The sequence below is a fragment of the Homo sapiens genome, chromosome 3 (assembly GCF_000001405.40).
Source record: "Homo sapiens chromosome 3, GRCh38.p14 Primary Assembly".
NCBI lineage: Eukaryota > Metazoa > Chordata > Mammalia > Primates > Hominidae > Homo > Homo sapiens.
The window spans coordinates 24,343,589-24,362,840 of record NC_000003.12 but is presented as its reverse complement, the minus strand read 5'-3'; the positions used below and the strand labels follow the sequence as shown (position 1 = coordinate 24,362,840).

General features: G+C 35.6%; 1 protein-coding gene across 53 annotated transcripts in view, besides 3 other annotated features; it reads left to right on the top strand.

The window, feature by feature from the left end:
* Window positions 1-19,252, top strand: part of THRB (thyroid hormone receptor beta) — a 378,556-nt gene that overhangs the window by 132,868 nt on the left and 226,436 nt on the right. For 6 of the 53 annotated variants that reach the window (NM_001354709.2, XM_047448805.1, XM_047448817.1 and 3 more), the window contains exon 2: window positions 14,227-14,283. The exons of the other annotated variants lie outside the window; for them this stretch is intronic. The gene's annotated coding sequence lies outside the window, so the exon portion shown is untranslated. The remainder of the gene's footprint in view (window positions 1-14,226; window positions 14,284-19,252) is intronic. 53 annotated transcript variants of the gene reach the window in all.
* Window positions 2,308-2,940: an enhancer, noted in NCBI's record as "OCT4-NANOG hESC enhancer chr3:24401392-24402024 (GRCh37/hg19 assembly coordinates)". NCBI's record gives its function as "activates a minimal SCP1, AML or CMV promoter by ChIP-STARR-seq in primed H9 embryonic stem cells {active_cell/tissue: H9 hESC(primed)}" and the evidence as "EXISTENCE:reporter gene assay evidence [ECO:0000049][PMID:30033119]".
* Window positions 10,581-10,725: an enhancer, noted in NCBI's record as "145 bp enhancer 252 fragment used in the MPRA reporter construct; PK_construct_4097". NCBI's record gives its function as "activates an SV40 promoter by MPRA in HepG2 cells {active_cell/tissue: HepG2}" and the evidence as "EXISTENCE:reporter gene assay evidence [ECO:0000049][PMID:23512712]".
* Window positions 10,645-10,662: a transcriptional cis regulatory region, noted in NCBI's record as "GATA motif; enhancer activity is reduced when this motif is scrambled, but it is unclear which activator is functional in HepG2 cells". NCBI's record gives its function as "necessary for full MPRA enhancer 252 activity {active_cell/tissue: HepG2}" and the evidence as "EXISTENCE:site-directed mutagenesis evidence [ECO:0005528][PMID:23512712]".

Genomic DNA, 19,252 nt, shown 5'->3' with positions numbered 1-19,252 from the left:
GCTTACATCCCTCTAACAATTTCTCATTTGTGATCTTGGGCAAATATAATGTCTCTAAACTTCATACCCAATACTTGTTAAAGCAGGATAATTATAGCACCTATCTCTTATGGTTGTTGTGAGGATTAAATTCATTAATTTATTCATTCTAAAAATGTTTATCAAGTGCCAGATAAGTGCCTGGCCTTGCCTTAGGCACTGGAGACACTATAATCAACAAAACAGAATAAAATCTCTGCCTTCATGAAGCTTACAGTCCAGTGGATGAGAGTCCATTTAAAAAATCAATAAGTACAGTGTTGGATATTAGAAGGTGATAAGTGCTATGGAGAGAAAAAAGAAGAAGGGGAATGTAGGAATGGGGAAATGCAATTTTAAACAGCTTGGTATGAGAAACCCTCACTGAGAAGGTGACAGGAATGATGCTTGTGCATATCTAGGGGAAGAGCATCTCTTATGAAGGGGGCAGCTAGTGCAGAGGCTTCATGTTGGAGAAATAGAAGGTTCATTAGGCCAGATGGAATGGATTAAGAGAGGGGAAGAGGAGTAGGAGGTGGAGTCAGAGAGATAATGAGTAGGGAAGGGGGTGGATAGTTGGTAGACATACAGCTTTGCAGACTGTGAAAGGGACTTCGCCTGTGGCACTCAGTAAAATGGGAGCCACTGAAGGGTTTTGAGGAGGTGAAAGCAAGATCTGACATCTCTTTTAAAAGAATCAGTGTGGCTATTGTTTTGAGAATAAATGAGATATAATACGTAAGGTGTTTAGCACAGTGCTTGGCCCATTGTAAGCATTCGGTAATTGATAACTGCTATTATTATTGGTGGTAAAAGTAACATCATCAATATTACTAGTGGTATTTATTTTGATATTGATACTGACTCTCTTTTATTCTTGCTTTATGAAATGAAAGCAAGGATATGGGCAAGTAGTATTGGGTGTTGGGCCTGCTATCATCTGCCCATAAGTTAAATCGGCAGAAGGTGCTGATGCCAGCAAATTCAACATGTGGTATATTTCACTCAACACATCATTGGCTGCATGACGTAAGCCCCCAGTGCCTTTACCACCCAGCTTCACATCATTAGAGACCCTCACTGTTTATTAGCTCTGGCAAACAAATCCATACATAAGGAGCCACTAGTGGTGAAGAAACCAGATGGGAAAATTTCTTCTGGCCATATTTCTCTTTCATACCTTTATTTCTTGTTCTAGTTTTTCTTCTTGGGTCTCCTTTCTTTGGTTTTCCTTAATCACTGAGTGGTGCTCAGGCAGTGGGTAGAATTCATAACAATAGTACCCTGCTCTTATAGACTATCTTTCTTCCCAGAATTTCCAAATGCCTCCTGCCCCCTCTTTTTGGGACACATCCTCTTGTTCTGTTGGCATATTTAGGCATTGCATAGAACAAAATGAGGCACAGATTATTCATTCTCCAAGACTTCACAATCTCTATTTTGGGCTGTGTATTATGTATATCGACAGAAACAATATGGTGACTCTTTTTTAAGCTAGATGGTTATGCAATGATGATGGTGTGTTTTTCCAAAGCAGCAGTAGTGGTGGCATTTATAATAATTCAGACTTAGAGTTATGAATTTCCAAGTGCATAACCATAAATATATTGAGTATCCCATATCCCTTTACAAGTGTATGCTCATGCATGTGCAGGCACACATGACCAGCAGATGTGGTTTATTTTGTTCACACAGTTTTTTCAAAAACCTGAATTTGTTGTCAACAGTTATTATAAAAATCTGGGTTTTAAGGATCTTCTTCAAAAATCAGGACACTTAGCATTCCTCTGCCCAAATTTCTCCATAGCAACCATCAGCTGGAGCTGTAGGAGCCAACCCAGTGGTTTTCAACCTTGGCTGCATAATAGAATCACGTGAGGTGGTTTTTCAAAAATACTGATGTTCGAGCCCCACCACAGACCAATTAAGCACCATTTTCAACAACAGCAATAGCAGCAAATGTTTAGTGAGTGCATATTTTGTGCAAGAAACCGCCACTCTGTAAAGAGAGCTGATATATAAAATATATTCATGTTGGGGACATATGATGTGTATAAAAATGATAAACAACTATACCGGATATAGAATATGCTTAGTACCAAGTGAACTATATAAAACAATGGTTCTTAAATTTTGCTGCATGATAGAACTACCTGGGGAGCTATGAAAACTTCTGATGCCCAGGTTGCACCCCAGATCAGTTAAATTGGAATTGGGAGGAAGAAAAGGTGCTCAGGCATTAGCATTTTTAAAAAGTTGTTCATGAACAATTATGTATCGGTAAAAAGCAGTTCTCCATGGGATTCCAGTGTGCAGGAATGTTTGAGAAGCAGGATAGAGAGCAGGGCTTCAAAAACTTTAATGTTAATATGCATCGCCTGCGTATTAAATGCAGCTTTTTACAGAAGGTCTGGGAATGAACCTGAGGTTCTGCATTTCTAACAAGCTCCTAGGTGATGCTGATGCTGCTGGTCTACTGAACACATCTGGACACAAGGGTGTAGTGAATAGACTTTGCTACATTTTCGCTCTGTGAACCTTAGTAGCTAATTTCAATGGGCAGCAGTGTTCTTGGCTTAAAAATCAGCATAACAATTCCCACCCTTGGAGTGCTGTTAGGGTTAAATGCAATAATAAACATGTGTAAAGCACCTGGCACAGCAGATAATCAATAAATGTTGCTACTATCACTGGAATTTAGAAAAGAAAGGCATAATCTAGGAAGGCATGAAGGGGATTACTGGAGCACATCTTTAGGGGTCTTTGAAATAAGGCCTTGGATTAATAGAAAGAATAGCCAGCTCTGGTGTTCTTTGTAATGAGTGGTTGAGTTTCACAGTTAATCTTCAAAATATGTACTTTTAGTTTTAATTTGCTTTCTGCCTTTATGCAAAACTGCTGCCAAATAACAAGTTTTTTTAAACGGACAAATTTGAGTTCACTTTCTCTGCTCCTGCCACCCTCTGGTGGAGGCACCAGCAAGCTGTAAAGTGGCCAGAAGTGGGTAGCAGAAAGAATGGACAGATAAAGCCAAAGTCATGCTGAGGGCCATGGCTGTCCCCACGCACATGGGCAAAGAATACAACTCAACTGAAAATGTGTTTTTAAAAATAAAATACTTATAGTTTTGAATCATGGCAATGTTTCCAGTGACAGAAGTGAGGGAAGTAGAAAAAAGATTGTAGAAAAGTCTAGAGTTGTTAAACTAATGAGAAAATTGTCTAGTTTTCTACTATTAGAAGGAATGGTGGTTTTTAAACATGGTCACAAATTCTTTGGCATTCTCTCATCAAGAGATAAAGGTCTATATCCCCTCCCCTTGAATTTGGGCAGGCTTGTGACTTCACTGACTGAGAGAATACAGCAGAAGAGACACTAAGTGACTTCTGAGGCTAGACCATTAAAGGCCATGCAGCCTCCTCCCTGTTCACTGGAACACCTGCTTTTGGAGCCTCAGTCACCATCTAAAAATTCCAACTACCCTGAAGCTGCCATGCTGGAGAGGCCACATCTGGGAACTCTGGGAGATAATCCCAGCTCAGCTAAGCCTTCCTGTCATCCTTGCCCAGGTGTCATGCAAGTGGGTGAAGCCATCTTGTACTTCCATACCAGCCCAGCCACCAACTGAACTTCACTGAGTATCCTTAATTAACACCATGTGAAGGCAGAAGAACCATCCAACGAAGCCCTGCTTGAATTCTGGACCCACAAAATCATCAGACGTGATAAAAGTGGTTGCTGTTTTAAGCCACTAAATTTTGGGGTGGCATGGTGTTGCTTCACAGCAATAGATAACTGGAACAGAAGGTTTTGTTTTAGTTTTAGTATAAGAGTCACATTCATTCTTCCCATTGAGGAAAATTACATTTTATTTGTGTATATCAAGGAAGTCGTGAGAGCATAAAGAACATTCAGGACTCAAGAGAGCTAAGTTCTTTTATTGATGTCATTTATTCCTAAATTAATCTATATTATAATCTGACCTCAGTAAAATATTAAGGGAATGTTTTGACAGTGGATTGACTGGTTCAGTGGTTTCTGATGTTCTTATGGAAAAATAACCATGCGAGAATTGACAGGAAAACATCAGTGTAAAGGAGACAAAGAGGAGAGCCCAGTCTTACACAAATGTTAAAATACACTATAAATCAAGGGGAATTACAACAAATTCATACCAACACAGAAGTAGGCAGACAAATGAACAAAATATAATAGGGACTGGAAAGTATAGTGTAAATATTTATGAGAATTTGGTATATGATAAAGATGACATTCAGAATAATGAGAAAAGGATGCATTATTCTTTAATTAATGTTGGGTCAATGGGCTATTTGGGAAAAATAACAAAGCTGAATACACAGCTACTACTTATGCCAAAATAAATTCCAAATGAATCAAAGACTCCAACATAAAAACAAACCATTAAAGTACCAGACAAGTTTTTAAAAATAACTCTGGAGTGCCTAAGGCCTTTCTAAGCAAGACACAAAACCCAAAAGCTACAAAATAAAGGACAGTTATGTTATGTTTGGCTATATAACATTTATTTATGGCAAAAATATAATGCCATCAACAAAGTCAGATAAATACACTGGAAAGTATATTGGTAACACAAATGACAAGGGCTCATTTAATTACTATATACAGCACTCTTATGAATTAGTAAGAAAAACAATATCTAATAGTAAAGTGTGCAAAGCATTTATTAATTTATTCATCAAATATTTATTAAACATCTACCAGGAACCAGTCACTGTTCTCTGGGCTAAGGATATAGTAGTGAATAAAACGAAGTTCCTAATTCCATGGAGCTTCCATTCTAGTCAACAGACATAAATGACAAAAAATAAACAATCAAGTACTATTTCAGGCAGTGATAAATCTGCAAGGGAAACTAATGCAAGGCAAGGAAGTAAAGAATGATAGGGGAGTGGTTGCTAAAGACAAAGTTTTCAGAAAAACAAAATGACGGAAGTGTATGAAAAGACGCACATTGTTAAAATACATACATTCCACCAGTACAGCGTAGTTTATAATCTCAAAGAACAGCGTACAACCTAAAAGTCTGTCACTAGGGGAATGCTTTAATTATAAATGGAATAAGAACAACGGAATACTGTGTAACCCCCTCAGAAGTGGACAATAAATTTGAGTATATTGATATGAAAAGAGTTCAAATTAAGGGCCAAACAAAATGAGAAAGATAGATAACATTATAATATGAATACTCTTCTATGAAAAAAAGAATACATAGGTATATATGTATGTGTATGCCAGGAACATTTCTGGGAAGATAAATAAGGTTTTAATGAGGGTCACAAACTCTATGGAGACTCATTTTTCATGATATGCTCTTTTGAACTTTTTAAATTTTTTTAACCACATAATGTTTTATTTCTATTCAAATGGTAAGAGTTTTTTGGTGTTTTTTTGTTTGTTTGTTTTTTGTTTTTTTTTTTTTTTTTTTTTTTTTTTTGGGAGAGACAAGGATTCCAGTCCTGGCACAAGATTAAGACTGAGAAAGTCACTTTACCTTTCTGCTTGACTCCTTGCTTTTCCCAATTGTGAAAAGAGGAATTTGAATGAAATTATCTTTAGACATCCCTTGAAGCTCTGAGATTTTGAGCCTAAAATATTGGTGTTCATTTTGGGGGACAAAAAAAAACATAAAACCAACAAAACTGAGTCAAGGATACCACCTCATTTTATTTCAATCTTCAGGTCAGGTGCCTCACCATAAATAAGAGCCTTTACATTTTTAGTTAAATTATTGGCCATAGGTCACCGAGAATCATGGCTAGGTGCTGAAAATTTTTAAGTCTAAGTCTGTATATATTGCCAAAGAATAATTTATTCTAAGTCTTTACCTTCCTATAACCCATCTCCCCTGAAGAAAGTTCTCATGACTGGCAATCAGAGACCATCTTTGGTGTAAGGGAGTCTGACAGGAGGGTGGGAGAAGGAAAGCCTCGGTTCCTTTGTGTACGTTCCTTCTTTTCTGCATATTCAGGGGGCCTCTCTGATATGGCCAGGGAGGAATCCCAGTGTATAGAAAATGGTTTTCACCATCATGTCTGACTTGGCCCTACTAGTGACTTTTTTGGTACCAACAATTGAGGTGCTGCTGTAACAAATACCTGAAAGCATGGAAGTGGCTTTGGAACTGAGTAAGGGGTAGAGGCTGGAAGAGTTTTGAGGTGTATGCTAGAATTATAGACTTTAAGGGCAGTTCTAGTGGGGTCTTAGCAAAGCCAGGAATAGAATGGGATCATATTAGCAAAGACACTGCCAGTTGGAACTAAAGGAGACAGACAAAACAGGACAGAATGAAAGAAGCCTGTTGGATTTCTTAGACTTGACTGGCCTGGACCATAGAACTATTTGGCTGTGAGCATGTACTATTCTTAAGAAAAGGGGAGAAGAGCCTGCAAAGACAATTCAGAGATCATCAGGGCCACCATCTCAGTTTCAACAGGCCAGACAGCCTTCCACTAAAGTCTTGGGTCTAGGACTGTCCGGTGGAACCTTTGAGGCGGTTCAGGACCACCTGGAGTTTTGGGGGCTGGACCACCACCACACCAGTGGACCAGAAGGGCAGAGCATCAAACCAAAGAGGATTATTCTCAATCCTAAAGTCTGATTAAATTTGTCTTGCTAGATTTGGACTTGCTCAAGATCCTTCACCCTCTCCTTTTTTCCTAGTTCTGTTTGGAATGGGAATGTCTATGCTGTGTCTTTCTCACCATTGAATTTTGGAAGCACATAATTTGTCTGGTTTCACAGGTTCACAGCTGGAGAAGAATTCTGCCTCAGGATGAATCATACCTCAAGTCTCACTCATATCTGATTTAGATGATATTTAGATGAGACTCTGGACTTTAGAGTTGTTGCCAGAATGAGTTAAGACTTGGGGAACCATTGGAATAGAATGAAGGTATTTTTCATATAGCTAATTTGTAGGAGTTTCCATGATAAGCCAGACTCTGATATACAAGTGCTAAGATTATAGAAACTCCTCCAGACCCACAGATGACCCTGCCATGTGTTTTTACTAATATACGTATACCTTGTGTACACCCTTTCTGCCTTCAGGTGAATGCACTGAGCCTCACTGCCCATTTGGCGTGACCTCACTGGCATCTCTCTGGTATAGCCAGGAAGGAATTACAGTGTAGAAAAATTGTGGTTTTTTATACTACTAAGTCTCTGTCAGCCACCTTACTGTCTTTTATGCCCTCATTCCTAAGTGTTTCGTTGTGTATTTCCTAAGAACAAGCACAGCCTCTTACATAACTACAGGCTGGTTATCAAACCCAGGAAATTCAACATTGATACATACTATTATTGAATTGACATCCTCTGTTCAAATTTTGTCCATTGTCCAATCATGTCTTTGGTAACAATTCTTTTTCCCAATTAGGATCCATTCCAGGATATCATGCTGCATTTGGTCGTCATGTCTCATTAGGCTCCTTTATTATACAGAAACATTTCCTCAGCCTTTCTTTGTGTTTCCTGACCTTGGTATTTTTGGAGGATACAAGCCAATTATTTTGTAGAATGTCTCCAGTGTGTATTTCTAATATTTCCTCAAAGATATGTTCAGGTGATGTGCCTTTGGAAGGAAACACCACATTAATGATCTCATGTCCTTCTCAGTGCATCATATCAGGAAGCACATGATGCCACTTTACTCCATTATTGAGGATGTTAGTTTTAATCACTTGGTTAAGGTGCTGTCTGTTGGGTTTTCTCATTGGAAAGTTACTATTTTCTTCTTTGTAATTAATATATGTTATGTGAAATTAAATACCTTGAGACCATACAAATGTCTTTTCCTCCTTAAATTTTCACCTCTAGTTTTAATATCCATTCTGCCTTGAGGAAGAGTTTTCCCTTCTCCTCTGTTTGTTTGTTTGTTTACTCATGTGTTTATTTATCTGTATCAATGTGGATTTATGGAGAAATCCACTTTTTTATCTTGAGCCTTCTGTGAGCTCCTCATTGGAGGATGGATGGAAAGGAAAGTCTTCACAGCCTTGGGGGATTCAAAATCTTGTTTCCAAACCAAGTTCTTTTAATTAACTTAGAAGTTTGCTCTTCACTTTTACTCATGAGTTGACACAGTAATCCTTTATTTGAGAGTGGAAATCCAGACAGAGCCGAAACTCATCCCCTCCTACCCTTCCATTCGGATTTCCTTCTCCTTCCTCCAGTGTGTACTCTCAGTAGCCCAAGTGTCAGTTCCAAATTCAGTAGCCAATGTCTTAGCCTAAGATTGGCAGACACTCTAAGATGTTGAAAAAGTTTGCTTTCCCAATATAGACAAGAAAACCCAATGGTGAGATCCTAGTCACTCATTATGCTTTGTGTGTTCTTCCAAAGTAAACATATTTCTGTCCAATTTGTGATAGCATTTGAAGTTCCTTTAACTTTTTTTTAACTTTTATCTTAAGTTCAAGGGTACAAGTTCAGATTTGTTACATAGGTAAATTTGTGTGATGGGGGTTTGTTGTATAGATTATTTCATCACCCAGGTATTAAGCCTACTACTCATTAGTTATTTTTTCTGATCCTCTCCCTCCTCCTATCCTCCACCCAAAAGGCCCTAGTGTGTGTTGCTCCCCTTTATGTGTCCATGTATTTTCATCATTTAGCTCCTACTTATAAGTGAGAACACGCAGTGTTTGGCTTTCTGTTCCTGTGTTAGTTTACCAAGGATAATGGCCTCACTGTTCACAATAGCAAAGACATGGAACCAACCTAAATGTCCATCAGTGATAGACTGGATAAAGAAAATGTGGCACATATACCCCATGGAATACTATGCAACCTTTAAAATTCTTAATAGAAGCATTTAATTGAAATCAGGGCACAAGACTACCATATTGTAAATGATGTACTTAGTATCCTCCTAAGATTTTTTTAATTTTAGCAATGCTTAGCAAGAGATTGAGATGACTTGCCCTCATCTTAGTGTTTAAAATTTGCTATGCATATGTGCTTTATTAAATATTGCATTATTTAGATTAAGAGATAAAAAACAAACCTATTTTTTAAAATTAAGGGGCTTATTAATACAAAGTTTTATAGGAGTTTTCTTTCCTTTGTTTGCTTTGTTTTGTTTTTATCATATGGAATCGCCTAATATATAAAGTCAGAGAAATAAATGATAAAACAGATTAACCTGCCTTTTTCCTTCCTGCACCTGGCAATGCAACACTGAGCCTTTGGTGATATCCACACTGACCTGCACAGTTCAGGAAAGTGACAAAGTAACTAGAAACCACATGAAAAATGAAGACACTTTATTTGACTTGTATGCTTCTGTGCTTGCTAATTCACAGTGAATTGTCTATGGTCCTAGCTTGAATACACAGCCTCATTTCTTTGTGCGACCTTCATTTCCTTGTCAAATGTCTATAGAGATTTGTCTATTGCTCAGTTTTGCCTGTAGCCAGCTGGGTGACATGAGTTGCTGTAGAACTGTGAAACTCTACACCAAGCAATTCATGGCTGTGTGACATTTACACTGACTGTGTGTAGGCTATCTAAACCTTTAGCGTTACTTATGGACTACAGTTTTAAACTATTCTACACATCCCACATGAAAAAAATATACAAGACAAAGAGTGTTTCTGACAAGAGGTTTTTTTTTTGTAAGTTGGTTTTTCTTTATGCAAATATACTTGGGGGGTAAGAATCCATGTTTCACTTTTACTCTGCATGTGATTCACTCTTGTGTTCAGTCTGCCTGCTCTCCTTGTTGAATTGCAATTTAACCCCTGAAGTTGTCATTAAAGAGAAAATCGACAAAATTTTATCCAGATATTTGTCAATCAATGAATGAAAAAACTAGAGTTTATAAAGAAATATAGTATTACATTTTTAAAAATAGCTTTATTTATCAAGCAATCAAAGCAATCTATACCTAAAGTGGGAATTTGAAAAACAAGGAAAAGAATAAAAAAGAAATTGAATATTCATTCTTAATTTCACTAGCCAGTGTTTATAGCTCTTCTTAATATTTTGGAGTGTTTCTTCCAAGTCTTTTTCTATGGATATGTAGTATATGTGTATGCTTAAAATATGGTTGAATTCATATTTTGTGTGTATAGTTTTTCATCCTGCTGTTTACATTTAATATTTTGTTGTGATGAATTCTTGCATTGTGCGTTTGTAGGTTTGAGTTTGAATGGCTGCGCAAAGACCTTTTAAAACCAACCACCCCGGTTTGAAATTTGCAGGCTGCTTCTGATTTCATACTGCTAAAACAAATGTTCCTGTAGACATCTGTGAAGGCAAATCTTAGACTGCATTTTTGGCTTCTGGTCCATTAAGCCCTGTTACATTCCTTGTCATTTTTGACCCTTTCTAGCTAAAGCAATGACCAGTCACGTTCACCTCTCTTCTCTAGCTCACAGCCCTATCCTCATAGGGACAGCATTACTGAACTGGACCATGGTGCTTGGCCTAAAACATGTTTTCGTTTCTTTGGTTGTTGAAGATAAGCCAGAATGGCAGCTTGCCCAAAAGTGATCCAAGAACTTTTGTATGGAAGTTTTGTTTAATAGTACTAACAGGAATGTTTTTAAAATAAAAGTTTTATTAAGGTTAAATTTGTTCCTGTGTTAGAAAGATAAGGTTTATTCTCACATGCCTGAACTAGTTCCTTCCAACATGTTTGCTAGCTTTTCTGTTGACACAAAATGTCAATGGCCTGAGAAAGACTTTACACCCTCAAAAGAGAGATAAAGGAAACTCAAGACCATGAGCTTCTTTATCACAGTGATACACATAGATGCTCACACCATTCTTCATTGTCAGTTGCAGAACCCTTTGTTCCTCTTCCAAAAAGTGTCTTTGTGTTTCTCAGAATGAGCTGGCTCACTCTCTCCCATCTGTCGGAAATGCAAGAGAACTTCATGGAAAGCAAGAGTATATAGGGTTCCCTGTAAGGTTAGAGGTGAGCTCCAGGCACTTAGTCCCGGTCACCATCTGCTCTCATGTGTCTAGCACTACAGACATTGTTACAGAGGTGGGACAGGAAGTGTCTGTCCTACAGGTGTTAAGCTTCTCATTCCCAGCACCTTGGGTGCCTTGGGATGACCTTTTCTCTCCTGTCTCTGCTCTGACTGATTTACTGTGTGACTTTGAGAGTGTGTTTTAAGGACTTGTTCTGGAAAAGATTAAGACAATTTCTAAAGATGCATACACTATAAGAAGTTGACCTAAATAAGAACAAAAGGTGAGAAGGCAAAGGAAAACAAGGCTAACAACAAATTGGAGTTTAGGCCAAATTAACAAAATGCATACCACTGTTCATTCAATAACATTTTATTGAATGCCTAATATGTACCATTGTCTAGAAGACAATGTTTTTCAAACTTCGTTGCAACACATTAATGGCCTGGGAAACCATCTTAGTAAGTGCCCATCATTTTGAAAGGATTAGGATGTGAAGGCAAGAACAGAATATCGGAGGGCATTGCACAAAGTAAGGGTATTATATCCTTTACGTAACTTTCAGATTTATGTGTGTGTTTGTGCATTAGGTCATGATATAAAATTTCTCTCTGTGGCCATGGCAAAGAAAGTTTTAAAACTACTGATCTAAGGGTATACACAAATTTAGGGCTGAGTTTTTTAGAAGCCAATGGGAAGAGAAAAAACTGATTTCTTGCATGATTTGGGGTGCTGATCTACAACTATACACAAGAAAAAAATTTCTGCTATTCTTCACCAAGAAAAAAAAATGAATAACATACTAAGCAGCGTATTTACAGAAAATCCTGAAAACTTAATGCTGTTTCTTTTAGCCTCCTCTTTTATACCATTTCATATAGATACTACATGCAGGGTGACAGCACCATGTTATGTCTGAAATTTTCCCTGATGTAAGCTGTAGGTCCCATCACTGTTCCCTGCCACATGTTTGTATTCTTATGAATGCTAAGTAGAAAAAAAAGTATTGATATTTCTTAAAGAAATTACCTTAAATAAACCTTTTTATTAAAATGAAACATACACACAGAGATGTACACAAATCATTAGCATACAGCTTAACAAATTTTCACAAAACAAATCCACCTATATGATCACCATTTAGATCATGAAATGCAATACTGACAAGAAGCAAAAACTCTCTTCACACCGGCTTTCAGCCTGTCCCCAAAGGAGAGACTGAACTCCCTGGAGTTCTAAAACCAGAGTTTAATTTTGCTTAGTTTTGAACTGTATATAATGGCCTAATATAGAATATACTTTCTTGTGTCTGGCATATTTTGCTCAATATTATGTTTGGAAGACTCTATCATTTCTGACTTGAATTGCACTGTATTACAAGTTTTAATCTGTTCTACTATTGATGAACATTTTAATTGTTTTCAGCTTTTCATTATTATGCAAAGAGCAGCTATGGACATTTTTGTACAGGTCTTTTGGTGACCACGTGTACACATTTCTGTTAGGTTTGGGAGTGAAGTTGCTGGTTAATAATATATGTGTATTCAGCTTTAGGAGATATTATAGAACTGTCAAAATGATTATACTTCACCAACAGTGTATGAGAATTCCAGTTTCTTCACATCTTCTCCAATACTAGGTATTGGCAGTATTTTTAATTTTAGCCATTCTGGTGGACGTGTATAGATATCTCATTGTGTTTTAAATTCACACTCTCCTGATAAATAATGAGGTCGAGCACTTTTTATATGTTGGTTTGCATTTGAGTATCTTCTTGTGTGAGAATATCCAAGTCTTTTGGCCATTTTATACTGGGTTATCTTTTTCTTAATGATTTATTGGAGTTCAATATATATTCTGAATATGATTCCTTTGTAAGTCATCTGTAATGCAATTATTGTTTCCCACTTTTCACTCTCATAATGGTGTCTTTTGGTGAACAGAAGTTCCTAATTTTAATATAATCTAATTTCTTACCTTTTCCTTTATTACCTCCTTTTAACATTTATTGTTTACTTATTTCTTTTTTCCTCTATTGTTAATGCTGTTTGTGTCCTGTTTAAGAAAACTTTGTTTACCCCCAAATCATGAATATATTCCCATATGTTATCTTTCTGAGGATTTCGTGTTTCACCTTTTACATTTTTACCAGCAACCCACCTGGGATTGATTTTCCTGTATCATGTGAAGTGAGGTACAAAAATATTTTTTACAATATGGGTATCCAGTTAACCTACCACCATTTATTCAGGACAATGCCCTTTCTCACCACAATGCAGTGTCACCTTTAATGATTAATGATGGTATATGTGTTTCTGTTTTTGTACTCTCTTTGGAGCTCTTGTGATCTATTTGTCTATCCTGTGTCAATAGCATACTGTTTTAATTAATGTAGATTTATAATCCTGTAACTGGTAGTGTTAAGTCCTCTAATATTCTTCTCCTTCAATTTTGCCTTGATTATTCTTGGCTCATTGCTATTTCACATATATCTTAGAATTAGTTTACTAATTTCCACCAGAAAAAAAAACCCAAGACTTATGAGATTTTGATAGGGATTACTGTATATTGAATCTATATACTAATTTAGGGAGAATTGACATTTTACAATATTGAGGCGCCCAATCTATGATCATGTATTGATCTCTTCTGCTTTTTCTCAGTAAAGTTTTGTAGTTTCCCATTTAGAAGTCTTGGATATCTTTTAAAAATGGATTTTAAAGTATTTGATATTTTTATGCCAATATAAATGGTATAATTTACTGAATTTTATTTTCTAAATGTTTGTCGTTGGTATATAGAATTCCAATTGACTTTTATATGTTGATCTTATATCCAGTGGTGTGGCTTTATTAACTTATTAGTTTTAATAATTTATCTGGAGGATATTTTGGTTTTCCTCATACACCATTATGATTTCAAAGAATAACCACAGTTTTATCTCTTCCTTTTTCAGTCTTTTTTTTCCTCATTGCAAAGCCTGCAATTTCTAGTATAATGTTTTATAGAGGTGGTTATAGAAATTATCCTTGAATTATTCTTAGTCTTAGGGGAAACTTTCAATATTCATCATTAGCATGTTTGTTATACAGTTTCATCAAATTGAGAGCGTTTTCTTCCAATCCCAGTGTGTTGTAAATTGGAGAGTAAATCCCCCTTGTGAGGTCTTTAAGGATCACTTCAGTAAGGCCATGGAAATACTATGAGAGGCATATGCAATTAAATGATCTGTTATGCTTGCAGGTCCTAGAAAGGAAAGCACAGCACATCGTGCAGAAGGCCGCATGGGAAAAGGGCCAGGTGAGCGGGCTCACTAAGTAACTGGGGAGCGAAGAGAGTGAGGACCTACAAACTGTGCCTCTTTAGTGGGTCAGGAAGGCATATACAAGGAAAAGGCATGAGGGGATTTCATTGGTGTGTTTGAATGTCACTAGGTGACATTCAGGGGAAGGAAAGAAGGGGGACTTGTGGCAGGGACCAGCCTTATTACACTAGTACAACCTGGTCACTGGGGCAGGGCGTGTTCACAATCTATTGTAGGGCTGTTCAGGCATTTTCAAAATTTGCCATACACCTAGTTTGCTGAGTGTTTTATCATGAATAGATCAATGCATCCGTTTAAAGGACCAGATGCTTTTCATTTTTCTGTCAATAGAGTGCTTTACATTGATAGCTAATATTAAACCAACCTTATATTTTTAAAAGAAAACCCTCTTGCGTTAACGTGTTATCCTTTTAAAATTATCTCAGGATTCGGTCTGCTAACACTTTGTTTACTTTTTCTTCCAAATTCATAAAAAATACTAGTTGATAATTTTCTTTTCTTATAATACCCTTATACTGTTACGGGATCAAGACTATGCTGGCCTCATAAAATGAGTTTCATCAAATGAGATGAGACATGATCCCACTTCTTCTATAACCTGAATGAACTATGTAAAATTGGTGTGGTTTTTCCTTTAAGTATTTAGTAGAACTCACTCTCCAGCAGTTTAGGCCCAGAGAATACTGTGTGAGTAGATTTGTAGGTACAAATTCAGTTTCTTTAATGAGTATAGTACCATTCACATTTTTATTATTTTTTCCTGTTTGAGTAAGGTTTTTTTTTAAGCAATGTGTCCATTTCATTGACATTTTCAAATATTGCCATGAAGTGTTCATGTATCCCCTTATCTTTTTATTGTCTGTAGGATTTATAGTGATTTCTTTTTTTTATTCTTTAAAAAGAAATTTTTTAAAAATTTTAAAGGTTTTTTTCTTTAAAAAGAAAAAGAAAAATTCTTTATTCTTTTTTTATTATTTATTATTTTTATGTAATTTTTCCTTTCTCTTCTTTTATCTTAATAAATCTGGCTATAGGTTTATGATTTTATTAGTATTTTCAAAGAACCAGTTTTTGGCTTGATTGATTTTCTCTGTTACAGTAACTCTGTTCTCTGTATTACTAATTTCTGACCTTTGTTATTTTCTCCTTTCCACTTTTGTTGACCCTAATATGGTATTATTTTTAGGGCTTCTTGAAATGGATACTTAAATCATTGACTGTCTTATTAGATCCTTGGCTGTCATTTTTTCTGATACATGCATTTAAGTATAGAAATTTCCCTCCACTCACACCTTTAGCTGCATCTCACACACTTGAGATGGCATGTTTTCTTCTATTTCAGTTAATAATATTGTCTAATTTCCATTGTGCTTAATCTTTGACCCATGGGTTAATTAGAAGGGTACTGCTTAATTTCCAAATATTTGTGTAATTTTTAGTTATTTTATTATTGATTTCTGTTTAATTATGCTGTGGTCAGTAAACATCTTATGTTTGATTTTTGATCTTTGAAATTTATTCAGACTCATTTATTATCAACACATAAATTTTGGTAAATGTTCAATGTGTATTCTGTAATTGTTGGCTGTAATGTTATAAATCAATTAGGTCAAATGTGTTCATCACCTTATCCTTATCTACGTTCTTACTCATTTTTAATAGCCTGTTCTACCAGTTACTGAGAGAGGTGTATTAAACCCTCCCACATTAATTGTGGATTTTCTTATCTCTTTTTCTAGTTCTAGCAATGTTGGCTTTATATATTTTGAGGCTTAATAACTAGGTACATTCAGATTTAGCGCTCATATCTTTCTATTGGATTCTTTTACTATTATGAAATGTCTTTTTTATCTCTAGTAATATCCCTTGTCATTAAGTTTACAGTATCTGATATTAACATAATTTACATGTAATTTTTTCAATCCTTTTTTTCTTTGAAATTGTGTGTCCTAATATCAAAAGTGTCTCAGTTAAGCAGCATTTAACTGGGATTTAAAAAATAATATAGTATATGTAGATTTTGTGAACTGTTTTTCTGCATTTTATGCAATTACTGATATATCTGGGTTATAATCCATCATATTACTCTTTGACATTTTATTTGCCCCAGTTATTTACTGTTCCTTTTCCTCTCCTTTGTTACCATATTTTGAATTAATGAAATATTTCACCTCTACTGGCTTGTTAGTCATTTATTCTTTTACTCTTCTTTTAGTGGTTACCCTAGGAATTACAAAGTGAATCATTAATTTATTAGTATATAATATAAGTTGTGACTTTGACTACTTTCCAGAAAATGCAAGGGACTTAATTTTACTTACCACTCCTCCCTTTTGTATTATTGTCTCACATTTCAATTCTAGTTATGTTTTAAATCCCACAAGATATAACAATTATTGTTTTAAGTAGTTAATATTCATTTAGATTTACTGCGTATTTACCATTTCTGTTGTTCATCATTCCTTCCTGTGTTTCCAAGCTCCCATCTGGGATATTTCTCCTTCTACTGGAAGTATACTTCTTTAAATATTCTTTTAGTTTTGGTCTGCTTTATTAACTTTATTTAATTTTAATTAAATAAAGCAAACTTTATTAGCTTTATTAAAGTCTCATTGACATAAAATAAATTGTGTTTAAAATATACAATTTGATAAATTATGACATATGTATACGCTGTTAAAGCATCCCCACAATCAATACAATGAACCAATCCAACACTCCTCAAAAGTGTCCCAGTTTGACACTTTAAATGTGGAGCATAACTCTAGGGGCACTTAGAACCATCCCTTCTTTTCCTGGGTTTTTGTATTGAGTTCAGCATAGAACTAGACCAATATCTGCCAATTCCCTGGGCCAGCATAATAATAAAAACAACACTTACAGCATGCTTTCTTGAGCCAGGCACTCTTCTAAGCACTTTATACATTTTTAATATTGAACTTACTAATTTAATCCTCATCACGTCTCTATAAATTAAGTATTGTTATTGTCCTATTACGGAACTTGAGGCACAGAGTAGTTTGCTGCACTCTGCATGCCTAAAGTGTCTATTTGTTTTTATTATTATGTTGTTTCAGTTCTAATTGTGTCCACTCAATCAAAAGAACCATTATAAAGCTTGTTCTTGTATATAACCTTGACTGACAGCCTCAATCCCCAGATTCTGCTATTGCTCCTTCATGGATAGTGGTTTCCCTGCCATGCTTTGTTTGGCGATCCTCTAGGAATGATTCTCTGAAGTGGTGAATGCCATCCTTGTTTAAAGGGGTAGGAGGGACAATAATCTAATTCTACCTAAGAGAGAAGACAGTAAACTGATGCTGTGTTTCCATTGCTGTTGGAAAAAGGACAGTAAATGACAGCAAAATTGAATAGCTTGATAGTTGCACCGTATAAATTACCCAGCGGAAGAGATGTGTTGAGAGGGAAAGTGAGGATTTGATCTCTGCCTTTCAGTTTTCAGTCATTGTCAACCACAAACTACAAAAATTGGCTCAGCAAACCTTGGCTTCATCCAGGATACTAGGGAGCAAGCCAAGAGATTTTTTTTTTCCCCTGCTAAGTTGCTCAGGATTGGTCTTTTGTGGATATGTTTACATTGGTGAATAAAGTCAGAGTACTTTAGTCATTTTGCTTCAGTAGTGTTTTTCATACTGTGGTTGGGCTATATTAGTGGGTAATGAAATCAATTTAGCAGATTATTACTAACTTTTTAAAAAATGAAATAGTACATAAAATAGAACAAAATAGGGTAGAGTTAAATGGAATAGAAGGTATCCAAGTGTATCACAGGAGTAAGAATATTATTTTGTGGAACTTTTGTTTCGGAGATATATATATATATATCCCTACATATTTGTGTATATGTGTGTTACAGGTTAAAACATTATTTTTTATTGTGGATCATGGTCAAATAATTACTGCTGGGAATTTAGTACATTAGAGGATTTTTTTTACAATTTTGTGAGAATATTTTTCTATATAGATAGTTTTCCAAATGTTATTTGTTTCTGTTTGAACAGGTCATACGTCAGAATTTGATGTTCAGGGGAGCAGGGAAAGTCTTCATGCTGATGTAGAGAGTAGTAATTTTCTTGTTGATCAACTACAAGTAGAAAACAAATTTGGCTTATCTGAATCTGTCTTTATTGTGGTTCTATGTTGAAATTACATGTCTTTTCAAATGTCAGATAGAAAACATCCCAAGGAAATAAAATCACCATAGTGACATTCAAATGCCAACCCAAAAGTCACCATCCTTTAAAACACAGGTGGCTTTTGGCAATACTATACACCTACTTGCCAGTGATTGGAGTTCAGAATTTACCAAACAATATAGTTGCTCATAGTTGATTGTGATGACATGTGCTGTTTTTAAAACTTTACTATGATAATTGTATAATAGAGTAAGTTTTCATGTAAATACAGTTTTCCCTCCTAATTCAGCTTAGTTAAAATCTGTGTCAATTGCTTTGAATTAACATTAAATGGATTCATGAACTTGGGTAAGACCTAGTTAGTAATCCAACTGTATGTGATTAAATTTCCCACATGTGGGAAATAAATATATATATATATAAATAATATATAATATATAAATAAATAATATATAATATATAAATAAATATATATATATCAGTATGTAATACATTCTGCCAAATATACCCATTCACTGGTACTAGATCTTTACGAAACTAAAGAACAGTCAATACAATAAATATTAATAAAAATACTAGCTCTAGAAAATGCCTTACAGCAGAGATGGCATGTAAGTTTCTTCTTAAACTGGTTGGCAATGCCTGTCTGGGTGCTATTTGAGAAGGATTTGGAGATTGTGGTTGGATTCAGTAGTAAAGAAAGATTGCAATTGATTAGTCATCTCTGTGGTGAACATGGGAGATGGGCAGTGATGATATATATGCTTTATGTTTATCTTAGAACTTT